The 22,485-nt window shown below is 39.7% G+C and overlaps 3 annotated features.

The window, feature by feature from the left end:
- Positions 5,909-6,078: an enhancer, noted in NCBI's record as "experimental_32865 CRE fragment used in MPRA reporter constructs". NCBI's record gives its function as "activates a minimal promoter by MPRAs in K562 erythroleukemia cells, with activity observed for the introgressed 13:39516648 variant allele {active_cell/tissue: K562}" and the evidence as "EXISTENCE:reporter gene assay evidence [ECO:0000049][PMID:34662402]".
- Positions 17,184-17,356: a silencer, noted in NCBI's record as "fragment chr13:39527838-39528010 (GRCh37/hg19 assembly coordinates)". NCBI's record gives its function as "represses an EF-1alpha promoter that drives an FKBP-Casp9 reporter gene in an ReSE screen in HepG2 liver carcinoma cells {active_cell/tissue: HepG2}" and the evidence as "EXISTENCE:reporter gene assay evidence [ECO:0000049][PMID:32094911]".
- Positions 18,001-18,170: an enhancer, noted in NCBI's record as "experimental_32869 CRE fragment used in MPRA reporter constructs". NCBI's record gives its function as "activates a minimal promoter by MPRAs in K562 erythroleukemia cells, with activity observed for the non-introgressed 13:39528740 variant allele {active_cell/tissue: K562}" and the evidence as "EXISTENCE:reporter gene assay evidence [ECO:0000049][PMID:34662402]".

The following is a 22,485-nucleotide window of genomic DNA, read 5'->3' on the forward strand; positions in this document are numbered from 1 at the left end:
ATAAGATGAAAGCAGTTAAGCAAAGGGGGGAAAAAGCATTCTATCCAGTCTATGGCATGTGCTGAAGATCTATTACAATTTGCTTCTAGCCAAGATGGAGCAACAGGTACTGATTTTCCTTCTTAGCTAAAATAACCAAAAACAAACAGACAAAAAATATTTTAAAATAATTTTCAAGACAGTGGACTTCAGGCAAAGAAGACAATAATTCCTAGAAGACAGGAGAAAAATATAAAGTAAGCCTTCTGAATGCTCCAGCTCTCTGCCTTGAAAGCGTTTCCAGGTCATGGCACAGAAATTAACAAACTGAGGTGCAGTCTCCCTGAGTTGGAGTGATGAAGCTGAGAGCCTGGTCAAACCAAAGCAGACAGAAACCACAGGTCAGAACACTGGAGAGAAAACAGAGGTACAGAGAAAGAACCCTGGAGATGCAGAGATACCCTCCTGGGTATTTGGCAGAATATTGAACATGGCATGTGTACTAGGAAACTCTCCAACAACAAGGGAAAAAAATCTAAAAACACTAAAGGAAACTGTGCCTGGTGATCACATAGTGTGAGGAAGGGTGTCCATTCCCAAGAGCAGGCTGGAAAAGACTCCTAATTCACAGGACAATAAATAATCAGAAAGATCTTGCCTCAGGAATGAGGAATTAGCCCAAATCATAAAAGCAAGAATGGACAGGATCAAGCTGTTTGTAAATAACTCAGCCGTATCCCTAAATAAATCTCAACAAGGTAAGTTGAGCCATAAAGATACTTTTAAAAATCACACTGCACTTGTAGAGATGCAAACTCCAATGTCAGAGATGAAAATTACACTAGATAAATATAAGCACAGATTAGACATCACAAAAGAAAAGATTCATAAAGTTGAGACATTAGTGAATTGTGAGAAAACTTCGAGCGGCTAATATAGAAGCCCCCAGAAAGCAAGAGAGGCAGAAAAAACATTTGAGGAAAAAACAGCTGAAAACTTTATAAACTTTACAGATCCAGAAAGAAGCTGGCTGGGAGAGAAGAAATAAAAGTATTCTATTGTAATTTTCTTATACTGTATAGGATGTGGTATAATATTACTCGAAGGTGAACTATGATAAGTTAAAATCGTATACTATAAATCCTGAAGCAACCACTAAGACAGCCAAACCAAGTAACACACATCCAGATAACCCAGGGTCAAAGAGTTAATAAAAAGTATAATTGGAAAGTATTTCGAATGACCGGGCGTGGTAGCTCACACCTGTAATCCCAGCACTTTGGGAGGCCAAGGCGGAGAGATCACGAGGTCAGGAGATCGAGACCAGCCTGGCCAGCATGGTGAAACCCCCGTCTCTACTAAAAATACAAAAAATTATCTGGACATAATGGTGCATGCCTTTAATCCCAGCTACTCGGGAGGCTGAGGCAGGAGAATCACTTGAACCCCAGAGGTGGAGGTTGCAGTGAGCCGAGATCCCACAACTGCACTCCAGCCTGGGCAATAGAGCAAAACTCTGTCTCAAAATCTCAAAAAAAAAAAAATGGATTTCGAACAGCTGAAAACACAACATATCAGAAGTTATGGAATGCAGCTACAACAGTACCTAAATTTAAAAAAAAAAAAGAGCTATAGCTCACAAGTCAAAAAAGAGATATAAAACTAAATCATAAAAATTACTTGGCTAATCTAAAAAAAAAGCAGAGAAAGCAGAAAAAGGAAACAAAGATGAGCTGGGACTAATAGAAATCAAACAGCACGATGACAGACAAATCTAACTCGATAATCACACTATAAATGAAACTGTTCTAAAAACCTCAATTAAAGGCAGAATCTCAGGCTGGATAAAAAAGCAAGACCCAACAATATGCTGCCTATAAAGAATGCACTTTAAATGTAAAGATACAAATTGGCTCAAAGAATAGAACAAGATATACCATGCTAACACTTACCAAAACAAGACGTAGGGGAAGTGGCTGTATTGATACCAAAGGAGATTTCACAGCAAAAATATTATCAGCACTAACAAGGTCATTTCATAATAACAAAAACATAACAGTTCTAAATGTTTATTCATACAATAACATGACGGCTTCAAAATATGGGAGGCAAGAATGAATAGAACTGCAAAAAGAAATAGACAAATTCACAGGTATAGTCTGGGATTTCAACACCCCTTACTGAACTGATAGAACAAGAAGGCAGAAAATCAGTAAGACAGAGTAGACTTGAATAGCGCTATTCTCAAGTACCCATGGAACAGTTACCAAAATAGACCACATTCTAGATCATACAATAAATGTTAATAAAAGAATGAAGTCAAAAGGATTTAAGCCATACAAAGTATGTTCCTGACTGAAAAGCAATCAAATTAGAGACCAATAATAAAAATATCCCTGGAAAAACTCAATTATTTGGAAACTAAGTAATGCACATCCAAATAACTCTGAGTCAAAGAGATAATAAAAAGTGAAATTAGAAAGTATTTTGAACATTCGATATGCTGAAAACACAATATATCAGAAGTTATGGAATGCAGCTACACAGCCCTTAAATAAAAATGTTTAGCACTGAATATCCTGCATTAGAAGAGTACCAAATCAATTACTTGGACTGCTACCTTAAGAAACTAGAAAAAAAGAAGAGGAAATTAAACGCAAAGGAAGCAGACGAAAGAAAATAGTAAACATCTGCCATGGTCTGAAAGTTTGTGCCCCGCCAAAATTTATATGTTAAAACCTAATCACAGAGGTGATGTTATTGCTAGATGAGGCTTTTTGGAGGTGACTAGGTCATGGGGACCAAGCCCTCATTCATGAATGGAATTGGAGCCCTTATACAGAGTTCCTAGAGAGCTTCTTCGTCTCTTCTGCCATGTGAGAACATAGGGAAAAAGAACACATCTATAAAGCAGAAAGTGGTCCCTCACCAGACACCAAATTTGACAGCACCTTGATCTTGGACTTCACAGCTTCCAGAACTGTAAGAAATCAATTTCTGTTGTTTATAAGCTACCCAGTCTATAGCATTCTGTTACAGCAGGACAAAAGGACTCTGACATTGTATTAGTTTGTTCTTGCATTGATATAAGGAAATACCTGAGACTGAGTAATTTATAAAGAAAAGAAGTTTAATTGGCTCATGGTTCCGCAAGCTGTACAGGAAGCATAATGCTGGCATCTACTCAGCTTCTGGGAGGCCTCAGAAGCTTATAATCATGGTGGAAGGTAAAGGGGTCACCAGCACTTCACGTGGCTGGAGCAGGAGGAAGGGGGTGGGGGAGGTGCCACACACTTTTAAACAACCAGATCTCATGAAAACTCACTTGCTACTGAGACACAGAACTAGGGGGAAAATCTATCCCCAAGATCCAATCACCCTCTCCAGGCCCCACCTCTAACACTGGGGATTATAGATCGACATGAGATTTGAGTGGGGACACACATCCAAACCATATCAGACATCAAAGATGAAACCAATTAAAACAAAAAATGGGAAAAACCAACAACACCAAACACTTTGAGGAGATTAATAAAAATGATTAACTTCTATCTAGCCCTGCTGCTCATAAGAAAGATAAGATGTGAGTTAATAACTCTGGACTCTGACAATTTTTTACAAAGCATTCCCTTGGGATATACCTGCAGATTATACTAGGATTACTATTAACTATACTATTGGTAGGCAATTAATGCAATAAGAAGTCTTACTTTCTCTTCTTTGTCTTTATCAAATGTATTTATTTAATAAATACCATTTATCAAAATGTGATACCTACAAGTTAACTGTGGTGTACAGTAGTCATAATCCTAACAAAATCATATCAGACTGACAATGTTATCATTAGCAGGATCAGTATCATAAGCAAAGAATGTCAAACTTAAGGATCATGATTTCTGAACAAATAAACTAGGAGCAGTTAGGATAGAGTATACAGTAATCCCCCCTTATCCACTATATGTATAGAAAAAACACACTCAACACGTTTTTCCTATGCCCTCACAGCGCAACAACAATCATCAACACAAAACACTTCTGTGACCAAAGGTGTGGGGTATTTCCCCACCAACAAGCAAGTAATCACTTCTGCAGCTGACAGCAGCTGAGTGACCTCCAATTCAATTCTAGTACTATCTACCTAGAGATAGCATCAGATCCCACAGGCTGAAGGCTCAGTCTCATACGACTTCCTCTGCAACCATCAGTTGCAAGTCGGGGCCTCCAAAACTTCTGATTGACTTGCTTCAAGTTGGGGTTCCCATGACCCCATCTTTGGGTTTGATTAACTTCCTAGAGCTGCTCAAAGAACTCAGGGAAACACGTTTACCAGTTTATTATAAAGGAAATTACAAAGACTACAGATGGCGGGGCACGGTGGCTCACGCCTGTAATCCCAGCACTTTGGGAGGCCGAGGCAGGTGGATCACCTGAGGTCAGGAGTTTGAGACCAGCCTGGATAACATGGTGAAAACCCCTTCTCTCCAAAATATACAAAAAAATCACTTGAACCCAGGAGGCGGAGGTTGCAATGAGACAAGATCACACCATTTCGCTCCAGCCTGGGCAACAAGAGTGAAACTCCTTCTCAAAAACAAAACAAAACACAATAACAAAAACAAAGACTACAGCTGAAGAGATTGTAGGGTGAGGTATGGGAGAAGAGCCACCGAGTTTCTATGCCCTCTCTGAGTGCTCCACCCTCCAGGAATCTCTATGTGTACAGCTATCTGGAAGCTCTCTGAACCCAGTCCTTTGGGTTTTTATGAAAACTTCATTATATAGGCATGACTGATTTAATCACTGGCCATCAGTGATTAACCTTCAGCCCCTCTCCCCTCCCAGGAGGCTGGATGGTGGGGCTGAAAGTCCCAGCCCTCTAATCATGCCTTGGTCTTCTTCCTGGTGACCAGCCCCCACGCTGGTGCTGCCAGCCATCATTCAATAATTAGCATACAAAAGACATCATTTTGGAGATTCTAAGGATTTTATGAGTTGTATGCCAGGAAACAGGGTTGAAAAACAAACATATTTCACAGTATTACATCAGCAGTTTTGATTTCTGTGGTTTTAGTTAGTTACAGTCAACCACAGTCCAAAAATATTAAATGGAAAATTCCAGAAATAAACAATTCATACATTTTACATAGTATGCCATTCTGAGAAGCGTGATGCAATCTTGAGCTATTCTGCTCCATGCCACCCAGAATGTGAATCTTCCCTTTGTCCGGTGTATTCTCACTTTATATGCTATACTCCCAGTCTGCTCCTGACATCCAACCATCAACATCATGGCTCCCTGATCCACAATCACCCAAAGCAGGTTACTATATGTCAGAAGGTCAATAGTAACCTAACACTACATTACAATGCCTACTTCATTCATCTCACTGCCTTTCATCATATAGGCATTGTATCACCTCACATCATCACAGGAAGGGAGATTACAGCATAAGATGTTATGAGAGCCCATATTCATATAAATTTTATTACAGTATATGTTGCAATTTTTCTATTTCATTATTAGTTACTGTTATTAAACTCTTTCTGTGCCTAATGTATAAATTAAACTTTATCATAGATATATATGTTTAGAAAAAAACAGTATATATAGGGTTCAGCATTAGCCACGGTTTCAGGCATTCGCTGTGGTCTTGGAAAGTATCCCCCATGGATAAGGGGAAATTACTGTACTTATTTTTTTATGACACAACACAGTTACCTCAGCTCTACAGCTGAAATTGTTTAGTTTAAGATAAAACACCCTATCACAAGAAGCTAGGTCTATGGGCACCATATCTTGAAGCATGGAAAAACACAGACGGAAGTCCAGGGAGAAGGATCCTTGCAAAGACTTTCCAGCTGCCAGTGGAGAAGAGCTCAAGAGAGATCAACGTACTTACTCTCATGAATCCTCTTTTGGGGAAGACGCTGTTAAGTTTATTTAATTCCGGCTATTTTCTCCGCCCCATGTATGGTGTAAACAAGGCTCAAATGCACCTGCCGGATTACCTCCCGTGAAAAGAACCGCTGGAAAGATCACTTCCTTAAGAGCTTCTCTTCTCTGAACCGTACCACTAATTCAGACAGAAGCTTAAGAAGAAATTCTGGGGAAATAGTGTCAAGTTGCCAGGGCCTCACCAGAAGCTGAGCAGGTGCTGGTGCCATGGTTGTACAGCCTTGAGAATAGTGAGCCAAATAAGTCTCTTTTTGAATTACCCAGTCTCAGGTATTTTTTATGGTAATGAAAAACAGACTAATATAGACATCTTGAAAATTAGAGATCATGAAAGGTCAAAGTAAGAGAATATGAGCATTATCTCCCAAATCCGAAGTATACAAAAATATGTAAAGCCTATAATTTAAATTGCATACTTAGCCAAGAGAAAAATTGATAAAAATGATAAATATTTCATCTTATTTTGCAGTTATAAATAGAAATTTGACACAATATGAATGAAAAGTGGACCATCTACATAAGACAATTTTTATTGTAATTTTAAATTAGAAATTATTATGCTTACTTCATCTAACAATTTTACTGAAATGTTAATCAGATAAGAAGGACAAATTATAATTACCTAATATTGCCATAGTAACTTACATACAAATACTGTTATTCACCAAAAGCCAAAAAAGTAACCAGTCTTGCAAGTTTAGATGGATCCTACAACTGAAACCAGTACCGTGTTATATCATTATATTGTTTGCATTTAAAATAAAATGTTAAGACAACAACAAAAATTAAGTAGGGACTATAACTGCTGTGCAGAGGAGATTTCATATAGCAGGCATGAGACTGCCATCTTTAGAAAGGCCTGCTTGCCTGGCTGGCCTCTGGTTGGCATTTGGGAACTTGGAATTGGGAGAGTCCCCAATATTCCCTAACTGAGATGAGTGGTTCACTGTGTCCTAAACTGTTTGCATAAACAATGCAGTTGTCTCCGAACAGCTGCTTTCCTTCTGGGAGTCTGGAAGTTGAGTACATTAGAGAGAGATTGCCTATGTGACTAGCCTCCATTAAAAACTTGAGCACTGAGCCTCTAACAAGACTGTGGTAGTGATAGACAACACTGCACATGTGTTGTCAAATTTTGAGGCTGAAGGAATGAAGTACGTTCTGGTAACCCCACAGGAGAAGATCCTTGGAAACCTGTGCCTGATTTCCTCCAGATTTTACCACTACACCTTTTCCCTTTGCTAATTTTGCTTTGTATCCTTTCATTGTAATAAAGAGCTGATATGTAATAAATCTATATATAATAAAAACATATGCATATAATAAAATGTATAAATAATAAAATCTCTAAGCACAAATCAAAAGATTCCCTTTACTTCTGAAGAGACTAAAATTTCACAGAAAATACCAATTCACAAAAATAAAAATAATAGAAATTGAGAAATATTAATTTTCTTCTGAAGAAAACACAGTATTTATTAGCCTGTGAGGATTAACATGATTAGAGTTTAGGTTATATAGAACTCCATAAGGACCTAACATCATAGGCCCATATGGACTGCTCCAGCCCTTTGCCAGTGCAATAAACTGTTTATTAAACAGCCACTACAACCACTAACATCTTCTGTCCTCCTGTGTACTCACTACATTAATTGAAGAGCAGCCTTTGTAATAAATCAAAAACCCGAGTATGACTATTTGGTAAGCCCTGTGAGTGATAAATACAATTACTATTTTCATAATTGTTTTTATATTTCTAGTAATTATGTAATAATTACTATTTATATCAAGTATAAACTGTCTTCAAATCCTTGAAATCATTATCAAAATATACTATAAAACAGGAGTTGCACACTCAAATACTTACAGAGGCAAAGTAGTTAACCTGAGTAAGTGAAGTAACTAGAGAGTCACAGTAGGAAATTGGATAGCATATGGCCCGTATGAAGGGGCAACCTCTGCACAGCAGGCTAAATGGTGATAAGGGCTCAGCTGGTAGCAGATTTGATTCTTTAAGGAAAGCCTGAAATCTAGATTTCTGCATGTCCCCTAAATTTCACGTGTTGACTCACTTTATGGAGGCAAATTTTGCTTTCTTGTGTTGATTTACACTAATTAGGGAAAAAAAAAATCTAAGGTGGGAAAAAAATTTTTCGAAAAAAACAGTTTTACCTTAAACAAATTCAGTATTTTCACAAATATTTACCATAAATGCATAAAGGAAAGCTGTATCTTGTAATAATTCTTTTAAAGTATCAATCTTTTTTTTCTTTTTCTTTATATATTATATAATATACTATAAAACAGGAGTTACAAACTCAAATACTTACAGAGGCAAAGTAGGTAACCTGAGTAAGTGAAGTACCTTACTCTACTACATTTCTGTTTTAAGCAGACTGAGGAAAACAAATTGCATGTATCTCTAATTATTTCCTAAAGAAATTTTAGTATAATGGAATTGAAGGGTAAAGGGCATATGCATTTTTTAAATGTGGTACTTCACCACCAAATTTTCTATTTGAAAGTCATCAACAACTTAAACTTTCAGCAGCAGTGTAAGTATGCTGCTCCTCATTCTCGCAAACTCTGTGGATAGAAAACAGTATTTCAATTCCTCGTTTCTCTTAAATTCCTTGTCTTACCAGGAACATTAAATGTTTTTGCCTATATGCATAGATCACTTGTAGATCTGGAAAAAAGTACTTTGCCCAATTTTAAATTAGTGTCCTCTTCTTGTTGATTTGAAAGAATTCTCTGTAAAATCAAGACTTTTTCATCTGATATGTATATGTGGTAAATATTTTGCACATGTTGTCTTTTATTTTGTTAACTTTTTTCTTATATAGAGGCTGTTTTAATTTTTATTTTGCCAAATCAACCTTCAGAATGCTTGAAATTTGTTAAGAGTGGGTCTTACGTATCTCACTACAGACACACACACACACACACACTATGTAACGATGCGAGGTGACGAATATGTTCGTTAGCTTGATAGTGGTAATTATTTCACAATGTATGTGTATATCAAAGCTCATTACATATATCCAATTGTATATGTCAGTTATAACTCTGTAAAGCTGGTGAGGGGTAATGACTTCCTTTCATTGATCTGCCACATTACCTGCTGCAGGTCAGAGGTTTGAAGCAGGGCAGTGCCCCACCATCTGTCCTCCAGAGCCAAAATGGAAGCAATGTTTAAACAATACATAATCGTGTTTGGGGGGTCAGAGGTGTGAAGCAGGGCAGTGCCCCACCATCTGTCCTCCAGAGCCAAAATGGAAGCAATGTTTAAACAATACATAATCGTGTTTGGGGGGTCAGAGGGGTAGCAGGTTCTCTAAGGAAAAGCCTGGCCTCTGGAACATTCTAGGAGGACAGCACACAGGATCCACATGCACATGCCTCTCCCTGGGTGATCTCATCCCCCCAATGGCATCTAGTCCATCCATATGCCAACAATGTCTAAAGCCACACCTCCAGCCCGGACTCCTCTCCTGTGCAGCATTGGCCCACCTGAGAGCTACACTCCAAGGCATCCCCAGTGAAGGTGTCCCGAATGCCTCCTTCTCTCACCAGCCTGTTCTCATTTATGTCTTTGTTGTCTCAGTAAATGGCACCATTACCTTTATCCAACATTTGCTTGAGTCCATAAATGTAGGACTTATCATTTATACCTCTGTTAGTATTTTTCACCCAGTTTAAACACATCTCCAAGCCTTGTTCATTTCACTTTCTTTCTTTTCATTTTTATTTTTTTGGAGACAGAGTCTTGCTCCATTGCCCGAGCTGCCAGGCTGGAGTGCAGTGGCACAATCCTGAATCACTGCAACTTCCGCCTCCCAGGTTCAAGCGATTCTCCTGCCTTAGCCTCCTGAGTAGCTGTGATTGCAAGTACATGCCACCACACCAGGTTAATTTTTGTATTTTTAGTAAAGAAGGGATTTCACCATGTTGGTCAGGCTAGTCTTGAACTCCTGACCTCAGGTGATCCACCTGCCTCGGCCTCCCAAAGTGCTGGGATTATAGGTGTGAGCCACTGTGCCCTGCCCATTTCAGTTTCAAAATATAACTTGAATCTCTCATTTCTTCACCTTTATGGCCACTGTCTGACTCTAAGCCACAGTCACCTCTATGTGACCATAGCCAATATCAGTTACCCTGCCAGCTGCATACCCTGCCCGCATTTCCTGCTTCCCTCCAGTCCCTTCCACATGCATGGACACACACACACATATACACACCACCACATGCATTCACTCACAAACATACCACCACACACATTCATAACACTCTCATACTTATGACCACATGCACACATGCACACACTCACACTCACTCATACACTCACACACAACCACCACATAACTCACACATGCTTACAGACACACACACACACACACACACACACACAATCTTTAAGAATATATGTTAGATAACATTATTTCTGCTTACGACCCACCAGTAGCCTCCTGTGGCATTTTGTATTTAATCCAAGCTTCCTCACTTGTTCTAGAAGCCCCTGAGAGCCACAGCCCTTTCTGTCTCCCTGGGTTCTCCTCACACCACTCTCTCCATTGTCCAGTCCCTCCACAGAAACCCCTGTTTCTGTTGGTTTCTGCCCATCTGCACTTTGCTTTTCACATATGCCTTCCCTCCTGGGATGCTCTCCATCCCTGTCCTCACCTGGCTGCCTCCTACCGTAGACCACCATCATGTTGGAAGAGAATTCCCTGCACCCACTTACAGCATGCTGACCTCGTCTCCAGGGCAGCTCCCACAATGTAGAGTTAGGTGTCTGCTGACTCACTCACAGCGCATGCCTGCAGAGGATTCCCTTCTCCTGGGCTGCCCTTGTCCTGGATTGCAATCCTCTGAGGCCCATGATCAATACCCTTGTCTAAGGCATGCTTAGTGTGTCACCTAGAATCCTTGCAATGCAAATACATTACTTCTCACAAAATGGTCTTGTCATGACATCAAGGGAGTTTCTATTCCTGCCTATTTACTTGAAATGTTATTCCAGGAGGCTGCCACTCTGTTAAGAATAGACAGCCTCCTCCTTTATGCCCAGGTTAGCTTCATGAAGTTGATTCATGAACTGCTGTAATTCACAGAGGGTTTTTTAAATCGCTGTTTGACTGAATTTATAAACATGTTTAATAACGCCAGGAGGTCTTCTGCAGGCCTTGGCTGCATAGTATCGCAGGCTCATTTGAGGCTGCCTCCCTTCCTGAGCCAAACATGTGCCTGGAAAATACAGTTTATGCCAGATCTTCATCCCCCATAGTGACTCAGTTTACATTCTGAGTTCTCATCCCTGGGTGGGGGTTTTTGAGAGATCCTGGGAAAAGTTGGCCAGGTTGAGTGATCTCAATCTTACTCAGCCCTATGTGAATTTACGCAGCTATACACTAAGCAGCTCCACAAGCAAAGGAGGAGAAGCAAAGGCCCCAAGCACGAAAGAGTGAGGGGGGATGGGAGAGAGGCTGTTTCCAGGGAGGCCCATCACCCCATTCCCACTATAGTATTGTCTGTCTGCCAGTGTGCAATGAGCATATGTTGTCTGACAGACAGCAGAGCAGTTGGAGATTCTTCCTCCTACCTGGCTGTGCAGAGCTACCCTGAGACCCCTGGTGGGCAAAGAACCTAAGGTGCAGAAGATGGAAACCCGTTCTTTATACTCTCTCTTTACTTCCAACTGAGAAGGACGATCTGAATTGGGGTAACATGGCTTCAGGACTTTCTGTTCCTTCCCTTCCCTAAATTTCCATCAAAGCTAATCAAATCCCTGCAAATATCTGCTGAGAACCTGGGGCCCTTGGCAGAAGAATCCGATCTCAGCAGGTGCTGAGAGCAAGCTGATTTTGCCCCAGAGTGGGGAGGACCATTGGGCAGGGCTGTGGAAGGTGGCAGGTGGCAGTGAAGATTAAACATAGGAAGGCAGGATGTCAACTCAGAACCATGCTGGCTTTAACAAGAGCAGGTCGTCTTCCCAACAACTAAACCATTCCCAAGTATTTTGCCATGAAGCCCACTGTCCAGGTCCTCAGTCCACCACTTTGTTCCCTCCTCCTCTAGCCCATTCATCCACTTCACACTCTCCAGAAAGAGAAGGACAGGCATACATTGTCTCACAGATAGCAGAGCAGATGGCTGAATGCAGCCCTCAGCAGGTTCATGGAAGTATTTGTGCCCTGAAGTGATTTCTTAATAAGACCAGACTAACATGAGTTGCTGGACACAACCTACCCAAAAGACCCCTGTCCTTAGGGAGCTCATGTTCGAAGCCCACAGAGGCAGCAGCTCCACCTGTCACTTAACTCCAAGCACCAGGAAACCTGCAGAGGTGAGGGATTGACCACACACCCTCGTGCCTTCCAGCCTGGCCCAGGCTGAAACATTTCACCTTCCAGAGGCATTCGGAGTCTGCTCACTCTCAGGTGAGTCACCTTCTTCCATAAATGAAACAAAGACCATCTCCATGGAGAAGCATCAGAGACTTGTGCAGTCCGGTTCTGGTGAGTGAGGTTGGGATGGGCTTGTGGGCAAAGCCGAGTCTGGCTGGGCCTGGTTGCTGAAGTGGCGCCCTCGCCTGCTTTCAACAAGTCAGATGTCTCTGTCCAGAGCTGTGGAGGCAGCGCCGTCCAGCAGTTCCCTGGGTGCACGAGCCCTGCTGGGTAGATCTCTCCTCCCTCACCTGCAGCACTGGAAAAATCAGTTGAATCCTAGCCTTTAACTTCACAGGTGTGTGTGTGTGTGTGTGTGTGTGTGTGTGTGTGTGTCTGTGTGTCTGCACACGCGCACGCACCCATGTGCGGGCGGAGTCATCTGGCCTGTTGAAAGTAAGGCAATGGCCCCTCTTTTAAAACCAAAGAGGCAGCCGTGATGGTCTCTGAATTGCCTTCAAGGTAATTCTTCCCTTGTCTTGAAGAAAAGCATGTGTTTCTAGCCAAACGGCTCTGTGAGCCTGTCTTGTAAAATCCAAGTCAGTCTTTGTACATTCCTTCTCAAGTTAGATTTTAACGTATGAATTCTGGAAAGACACAGAGTAGGTCCAGAAGATGAGAGTCTGTCCCAGTGAGCCTAGATATCAGAGCATTGAACCAAATTATTATTATTCTCAACCCTTATGATCTCATGGAGTTTGCCTTGTAGTTCGAACTTGATTGAGATTCATCAAGATTCATTAACCCTTTCTTCTTTCCTATTTTTTCATGTTGGGAGAAATGTCTATCCTGTGCCTGTCTCACCATTTTACTTTAAAAACATAATTTATTTTGTTTCACAGATTTGCAGCTGGAGAGTAATTTATCTGAAGATGAATCTTGAGTCTTACCCATATCTGATTTAGATATTTATATGAGACTTTGGATCTCAGATTTTAGAGTTGATGCTAGGAGTTGAGACTTTTGAGGCAATTGAGATGTAATCAATATACTTTGTATGTTTAGAAAGACACTGTAATCTCCCAACAGGTTCATTTTGCCTGCTGCCTGGATAGAGCCAATTTATCAAGACAGAGAAATTGCAATAGAGAAAGAGTTTAATTTTCACAGAGATGGCTGAATGGAAGACTGGAGTTTTATCATTACTCAAATCAATCCCCCTGAAATTTTGAGCACTCAGGTCTTTTAAGGATAATTTGGTAGGTAGAAGGCCCAGGAGTGGGGAGTTCTGAATGGTAGGGTTGGAGATGAAATCATGGGAGTCAAAGCTGTCCTCTTTTGCTGAGCCAGTTCCTGGGTGGGGGGCCACAAGACGAGATAAGTCAGTTTATCAATCTGGGTGGTGCCAGCTGATCCATTGAGTGCAGGGTCTGAAAAATATCTTGAGCACTAATCTTAGGTTTTAAACTAATAATGATGGTATCCCTAGGAGCAATTGGGGAGGTTTAGCATCTTGTGGCCTCTAGTTGCATGACTCCTAAACCATAATTTCTAATCTTCTGGCAAATTTGTTATCCCAACAAAGGCAGTCTGGTCTGCAGGCAAGAAGGGGGTTTCTCTCAAGGAAGAGCTGTTATTATCTTTGTTTCAAAGTTAAACTATAAACTAAGTTTCTCCCAAAGCTAGTTTGGCCTATGCCCAAGAATGAACAAGGATAGCATGGAGGTTGGAAGCAAGATGGAGTCAGGTCAAACCACTGTAACTGTCATAATTTTCTCACTGTTATAATTTTTGCAAAAGTAGTTTCAAAGTACATCCTTGGAGGCCAGGGGCTAAATGTCAAAGACTCAATATTTGTGTCTTTCTGAAATTCATATGCTGAAATCCTCACCCCCAAGGTGATGGTATTAGGAGTTAGGCTTTTTGGAGGTGATTAGGTCGTGATGGTGTAGCCATTATACATGGGATCAGTGTCCTTATAAAAGAGACCCCAGAAAGTTTTCTTACCCTTCTACCATGTGAAGAAACAACAAAAAGATGGCTATCTATAGGCAAGAAAGTGAGCCTTCACCAGACACTGAATCTTCCAGCACCTTGATCTCAGACTTCCCAGCCTCTAGAACTGTGAGAAATACAATTCTATTGTTTATAATCTATCCAGTCTGTGATATTCTGCTATAGCAGCCTGAATGGACTAAAACATTTAATAACTCAAAGTGACATTTTAAGAACAGCAGAGTATAGAATTTGTCATCAGAAGACCCAAGCTTCTTCCCTCCTCACGTCCCGTAAACTGACACTGCCTTCCACCACATCCCTTCACCATTTCCATCACAATCAACACTACTTTCACCTTTTCGACTGCCACATCATATTGACACTACCAACTGCCTCTGACCTTCTGTTAATGCTATATTTAGAATCAACTTTTTATCTGGAAAGATTCCAACTTAGGTCATAGATTTGGTCCTAGGTGGAGGATAAAAAGAAAAAAGATTTCTAGACCCTGATTTACATCTGTCATTAAAGCTGCTCATTTCATTTAAAAGAAACAAGTAACCTTAATGAATAGATTTAAATACTCAGACAACTAAAGTATGAGATACTTTTGCATGGTAACAATTGGTGAAAAGAGTAAGGAGAGGTATCTATTCTCCATTCCTAAATGCCTGATTTGATCACAATCTTAGGTTGAAATTACTCAATTACTATTTTCAAGGATTAAATTTCCCCCACCTCTTTATAGAAATAAAATAGACACACATACCCCCTGTGAAGCTGAAGGCTAGGGTTCAACTGATTTTCCAGAGCTAATCATGGAAGTGAGGTTTTTTTATGACTTGTTGATGAGAGTTGAGCAATAAGACTTTTATCACTGGGCAGTGGCCCCTTGGCAAAGATTCAAGGGCCTGTGGATAGGAAGGAACTGATGTGGTAAAAAGGAAAAGACTGAGTTCGTCATGGCAGAAATGACGCAAATAAATGAACCTGATAAAGAAGAAATGTGAATCAATATCAAACCAAGAATGGTTATTTAAGCTTTCTGCTTTCAACAGGAGTTTTTTTGTTTCATTATCACTGCATTATTTTCAACTCTGTTACCTCCAGAAAACAGAGCCATTCAGTTTTATTACTTTTTTTTTCTATTTGTTTGAAATTAATTTGTCCTACAGTCTGTAGAGATTGTATGCCCTCTTTTTTCGTGGTTTAAGGAAGTCAGGAAAAAAAAAATATGTGCTCTCCTGAACACTCGTCTAAGGCAGAGAATCTCACCGAAGTAGAGAAAAGCTCGCACTCGCTGAAAAACAATGGCTCAGTGAGAGCAGCTGAAGTTGCGTCTGGTCGTTGTCTGCTGGGCTCTCTGTTAGCTGCTGACCAAATCCTGTTTTAGTGTAGAGATTGTTTTTCTAGCTAGGATCCTTTCTTAAGTGTGCTTAATCTGCTGTAAAAAGGTGTTCATCTCTGCAGTAAGTGTTACTGTAACTGTTTTTAAAAGTGCACTGCCTTTACCTTGGCAAACTTTGTGCCAATCAGTATCTATTCCAATGCCATTTCTGCACACATACATTAATGCTCCGACATTTAGACGGGTTGGAATTGGGAATGACTTTGTTGAAGACTTATTATTAACTATTGTATGGTACTTATATATTTTTGTATTCCACTGTCCCCACCTCTCACCCTCCAAAAACTGATGTGATCTGTCTTACAATAACAAAAACATTTACAATAAGGCCAATACAATAAGAGATAAAATCAATACTCACAAAAAGAGGACAAAGTATTAATTACCACTACAGTTGGATTTGACATTATTTGTATGATTGAGTTTCAAATACGTCTGTAACCTGCATAAATATGAACCAAGCTCACACAGTTTCACCCATGGTGCTGATCTGGGAGAACACATTCCTGCATGGACATCTGCTCCCTTTTCCCAACTGCCCAACCCATCAAGAAATGGCCAAAGTTTGGTTTAAGCCGATTGTAATACAGTATTTACCCCTTACTTGAGATTTTACATTCTGCAACTTCAGTTACACATGGTCAATCAAGGTTCAAAAATATGAAATGGAAAATTTTAGAAATAAATAAGGTACGTGTTTTAAATTGCATGCCTTTCTGGTATTATGATGAAATATACTGTCCTGCTCTGTCCCACCTGGGATATGAATCATTCCTTTGTTCAACATATTTATTCTGTATACTCTACCTGCCCATGAGTCACTGAGTAGCCATCTCAGCTTTCAGATCAACAGATCCCAAAAAGGAGGGTGAATAGAGTATAATGATATGTTTTGGGAGAAAGACCACATTCACATAACTTTTATTTTAGAACAGTGTTATGATTGTTCTACTTTATTCTTAGTTATTATAATTAATCTGTTAACCATAATTTTAATTTATAACAATTTACCTAATTTATAAATTAAAATTTATCATAGGTATGTATGTTTAAGAAAAAACATAGTATATATAGGATTTGGTACTAGCCACAATTTCAGGAATCCACTGCTGTCTTAGAATACATCCCTCATGGATAAATGGGAGTCATATGTAGCAAAATACAATCAAATAATACAAAAATGTCTAACTGCATGGCTAAAGAAAATATACACATGACATTCGAAAAGATAAAAGGATCAGTAGTCATCATAGCAGCTTCAAATTTATAATATAGGGTAAACACACAATATCCATGTAAAGTCGACATGTTACATCAGAACTTGAGTATCTGTGGCTCTCAGTAGCAAATTGTATGTTCATGCTGGAACTGCTCTATGATTCGAAGTGAAATCAATTTTTATGAATTCAGATGACACCTATAGACTTTACTGAAGGCAGCCTGATGAAAAGCAGTGGTGGAGGGCCCTAGTTGCATACTGCAGCTCCCAAACCAGACAACCACAAGATGCCCACAGCTTGTAAGAAGTACAGGAATGACCATAACCACCAAGACAGCACCGTCGGCTGCTGGCATGAGGAGAGAGCGGCAAGGGTCAGCAACCACTTGTAACAGTTGTAACTGCTAGTCTGACTATTCCTTTGCAATGGCTTATAAATTTTTGCATTTGTAATTTATTTAATGAGTATTCTACTAGCTACTTACTATGTACAAGGTAGTATGGTAAGTAATAGGATACATTGGTGATTAAGCCAGGTACTCACTATCCTTATGAGCTTACAGTGTGAAAGAGAAAGACTTTAAGTCAGAATTATACAAATACTTATCCTATTGTATTAAGTTACTATTATACTATGAAGGATGCCATACAGTGAATTATAATGTGATCAAACCAAGACTGGAGGGGTGGAAGAGAATCAGAAAAATGCATCTTTTTCTGTCTGCCACTAGACTCACAGCTCTGCTACCTGCACCCTGGACACCTCTATCCTCCACTCCTATAGTGTATCTCTTTGAATCTGTCTTGGGGACAGAGCTAAGTGGATTCTAGAAGAACGTCTAGGACCTGTTAGGCCAACTCCAAGATACTTTGTTATACCCAGAACCAAAGAAGTAAAAACAAAGAGTCTTACAGCCAAAATCAAATCAGTCAAATTTTAGACTCTTTCTTCCCTTCTCTCAAGTAGCACTCAAGTCCCTCAGAAAAGGATAAAGGGGAAAGTGTGTGAATAACAATGATGAGTCATCTGTTCCAGCAATGTCCAGTCCTCTGGGCCATTGGTCTAGCCACGACAGATCCTCTAGGAGTTGTGAGCATAGAAACAAGATTCAGGAGAACAAAGGAGATACAGGTGTCTGGGTGGGTCTTTCAAATGTTTTGGGGGAAAATCTGGAGGAATGAATTTTTGACTGAAGAACAGTAAAGATTACCTTCTCCTTGCCAAAGTCTCTAATTAATAAATTCTTTTCATAAGGCAAACAATAAAAGGTTCAGACATCCAAGAGACAGAGGGATTTTCAACAGTTTGAATTTATATCCAAAACAACATTACATACCAATCACGTTTCTTGCAATCAATATTTTTTTCCCCAACAATCTGCTAGTGAGTTGGCTTTCTTTAATTTACAGGTCCAGCAGAATAGAGGCCACCCCACTATCTTCTACCCTGTCCCCACAACCACATGGAGGGACAGATAAATAGATATACACACAGAGGCAGACCCTCTCAACATGACTTGTCCTCTGCTTCTCTCCCTTGGGATGCCTGCCTCCCTTTTATACCTAAGATGATTGACAGGGATATCATCCAATCAGCATTTTTCCTTTCTGATTTGGACCACTGAGGAAGATTGTTTTCTTTCTCTAATAGAGATATTACAAAGTTGCAAGCAAGCAAAATTATGTTGGCAGAGAAATTTCTATCCTGGCAGTTTTAAAAAATGATAGAAGGACTTCTGGAAATATATTATACTGGTATTCTTTTTCTTGGACTAGAGCAGCCTAAGGCTTGAGTGCCATGTCTTTCAGATAAAGATTTAGCAAGTCCACAGGTTCAGATGGGAAGACTGAAGGAGACCCCACATTTGCAAGGGTATTGGGGTTGGTTTATGCTCTTCTGTAGCACTCGCTAATGGAGCACCTGGAGTCTTCTCTCATGTTCTCCAAGATTCCAGTCCCCCCAGCATCAGTTAGGCAGTCTTTGTTTTTTACTGAATAAACAACTATGTCTGGAGATATTTTGATTTCCTCAAACACTCAATTTTTATTTATTTTATTATTATTATTATTTTTTGAGACAGAGTCTTGCTTTGTTGCCTAGGCTGGAGTGCAATGGTGCAATCTCAGCTCATTGCAACCTCCGCCTCCCAGGTTCAAGCTATTCTCCTGCCTCAGCCTCTCAAGTAGCTGGGAGTGCAGGTGCCCGCCACCACGCCTGGGTAATTTTTGTATTTTCAGTAGAGATGGGTTTCGCCATTTTGGCCAGGCTGGTCTCAAACTCCTGATCTCAGGTGATTCACCCACCTTGGCCTCCCAAAGTGCTGGGATTAGAGGCGTGAGCCACCGCACCCAGCTAACAACTCAATGTTTAAAAAGCCACAGGGTTGGCTCAACTATTTTGTGAGTTGATTTCAGAAATATAACTTTTATTTCTTAGATTTTGAATAGATATAGAAAAGAGGGAGTAAATGACATTATAATGGTGTTTGATCAAGGAAATATATTCCATTTTGACAGTCTTGGAGGACCTAGAGAAGATTAAGAAATTCTGTTATACAAAAATGTAAGATATTTTAATGACTTCATAAAATCCAGAGCGATATTTTGCAACTAGCCTGTGCCCTTGATTAGACTGAATTCAAAGAAGTAAATTTTCATGAAAATTCTCCAGATGAGACACTGCATTGTCATATTAGTTGTAAATTATATATATTTTTCCTGTTACTACAACCTGTGCCTCTTATGCAAAAGAAGAAAATAAACTATGAGGTGGTCCTTCTGTTGTTTGCCTGCCTAGCACCTCATCGTCTTTCTCACATTTCAGGATGTTGAGTAGCATCGTTGGATTCCATGTGTTGGCAACCTATCACATTGGCTCAACACTGAATTTGGAAGAACCATGTTGCCTAAACTCTATAATATATAGTTATATATATAGTTATATATATATAGTATATAACTATATACAATATATAGTTATATATATATAGTATATAACTATATACAATATATAGTTATATATATAGTATATAACTATATACAATATATAGTTATATACTATATATGTAACTATATACAATATATAGTTATATATATAGTATATGTAACTATATACAATATATAGTTATATATATAGTATATAACTATATACAATATATAGTTATATATATAGTATATAACTATATACAATATATAGTTATATATATAGTATATAACTATATACAATATATAGTTATATATATAGTATATAACTATATACAATATATAGTTATATATATAGTATATAACTATATACAATATATAGTTATATATATAGTATATAACTATATATAATATATAGTTATATACATATAATATGTATAATATTATGTAACACCTAGTTCTTGTTGGTTAGAGTTAGATAGTGGGTTAAACAATATAGTGTCTGAAACTCTTTTATAAATACTCCAGAAAAAAGGGGGAAACGTAGATAGAACAAAATAGGCAAAATTTGGTAATTGTTGGAGCTTGGTAGTGGGATCATGTGAGTTTATTTTGGTGTTCTACATTTAGGTACATTTGCATACTTTTACAAGTTCAAAATATAATGAAGTAGTATTTTTCCAAATTATTGAGGTATGGTTGGCAATGTCAAAAGAAAATAGCACCTTTATAACCAGAAATAATGTGTAAAATAGTTTGGAAAAGGAGAGCATGAGGTCAGAAAAATCAGTTAGATGCTGTGGTGCTGAACCCCTCTTAACCTCAATAGAGAAGGCACCAGGTTCAAGAGGCCAGGGACCCAGAGCCAGAGAACAAGACATGGCATACGGATAGCTTACTAACAGGGAGGTCCAGTAGTGGCAGGCTAGGCAGAACTGCAACTGCTTGCAAAAAGCATGCATTTTATATAGCATCTTCACTCGCTCTCTTCCCCTAACAACTTCCACCTAGCAACCTTCATCTAACCCAAAACAGAGGGCCTCCATCCCCTGTATGGCCTGTGTTCCTATAGGATTAGACAGGAGCTCAGATATTCCTCATAGGTAAGGAATGAATCTCCTGGTTGGCCACGCATGGAACTCTGAACACATTCAGGTGTGTCTGCCACACAGCTGGGCATTTGGAACATGAGGTAATAGAGGTGAGAAAACAATTTCAAAGAATGAGCAAAAAGCAATATGAGACATTTTGGAGACCAAGTTGATATGACATTATGAATGGAAGGCTAGGAAAAGGAAAATATCAAAGATGATACCATGTTAAGCCTAACAGGCTGGGTAAACAAAGCCATTAATAAAAGTAGATAGATGAGTGTTTAGGAATGTAGCGATTGTGGTTTCACATCTTTTCTCAACCCCACAAGCTCACTGAAAGGAATCAATCTAACTGATCCATGAAAGCAAAAGGGGGTGGAGAGGAGTGCTCTATTAGGAAAGCAGAAATGTGGCATCTGACTGCAATTCTGAGCTTTCCGCAGAAGTAGAATGCACAGGGCAAAGACTAGGGACCTGCCTGCATGCACAGCCTTGTCTCGGGGGAACAGCCACAGGATGCTGAGTCAGCAGCCATGGGAGGACTTCTGAGAGGGGTCAGGGCCCACGAGCACCAGCGCAGCCCAGCAGTCACATCCTGGCAACTCATGTTCAGCGACGACATGGAATTGCCAGAAGAGCGTGGTAAACATTGTGACAACCAGGGACTAAGTCACCCCACTTTTTGAGACCCAGAAGCTCGGACTGAACCTATGGAAGAAAGGGAGAGGACCTCCCATAATGGCTGAGATGAGGTTTCCCACCAGACCAGATAGGTGGGGCTCAGAGTATATTTAATCTGATTTAAAGAAATAAGTGTGATGTAGAAAGTCAGTGCTCACCAAATATTTCATGTGGTCCCCCTCCACTTCCCAGACCTTCTTGCAGTTAGATTAGAGCCATGTCAGCAGTTCTGGGGAATGGACTGTGAATGGATGTGTCATGTGCTCCTCGACAGCTCTCTTCCCAGCACAACAGCTTTGGGGGTTATATGCTCCAGGTAGAGTTGCTGCAACCGAGGAGGGCCACCTGGCCCAAATCAAACGTCACAAGGGTGAGGAATAAGTCTTTCTTGTTTTAGGTCACTGAGATAATGGGGTTTTACAATTGCACCAGTTAGCATTAATTATCCTGAGTAGTACAGAAATAAATAAGATATATTGTGTTCCCGAGTTAGTAAAATGCATCCATTCTCCAATCAGGGCAGTGTCACATAAAAGAATAAGCTGTTTTGAAGGAAGATACAGACTCCAGTTATGAAAATTGGGAAACGTATGTCTGGAGTTTAAAAGAAATAAAGAATAATAAATCATATACATAGACGATATCATTGAAATCATGTCCATGTAAAAATAGAAGACAAGAGAAGAAAATAGAAGGAAAGGCAAACACGTGACTTCCAAATTAAACTCAGGCACAGAAATCCAACTGGGAAAGAGCACAGAGGTGGGAAATGCTTTTATGTGCTGATGTGTGTCCCTGAAAGACCAAGGAGAGCTACCCTTCTGAGCCCCTCCATACAGTAC

Source organism: Homo sapiens, chromosome 13 (assembly GCF_000001405.40).
Source record: "Homo sapiens chromosome 13, GRCh38.p14 Primary Assembly".
NCBI lineage: Eukaryota > Metazoa > Chordata > Mammalia > Primates > Hominidae > Homo > Homo sapiens.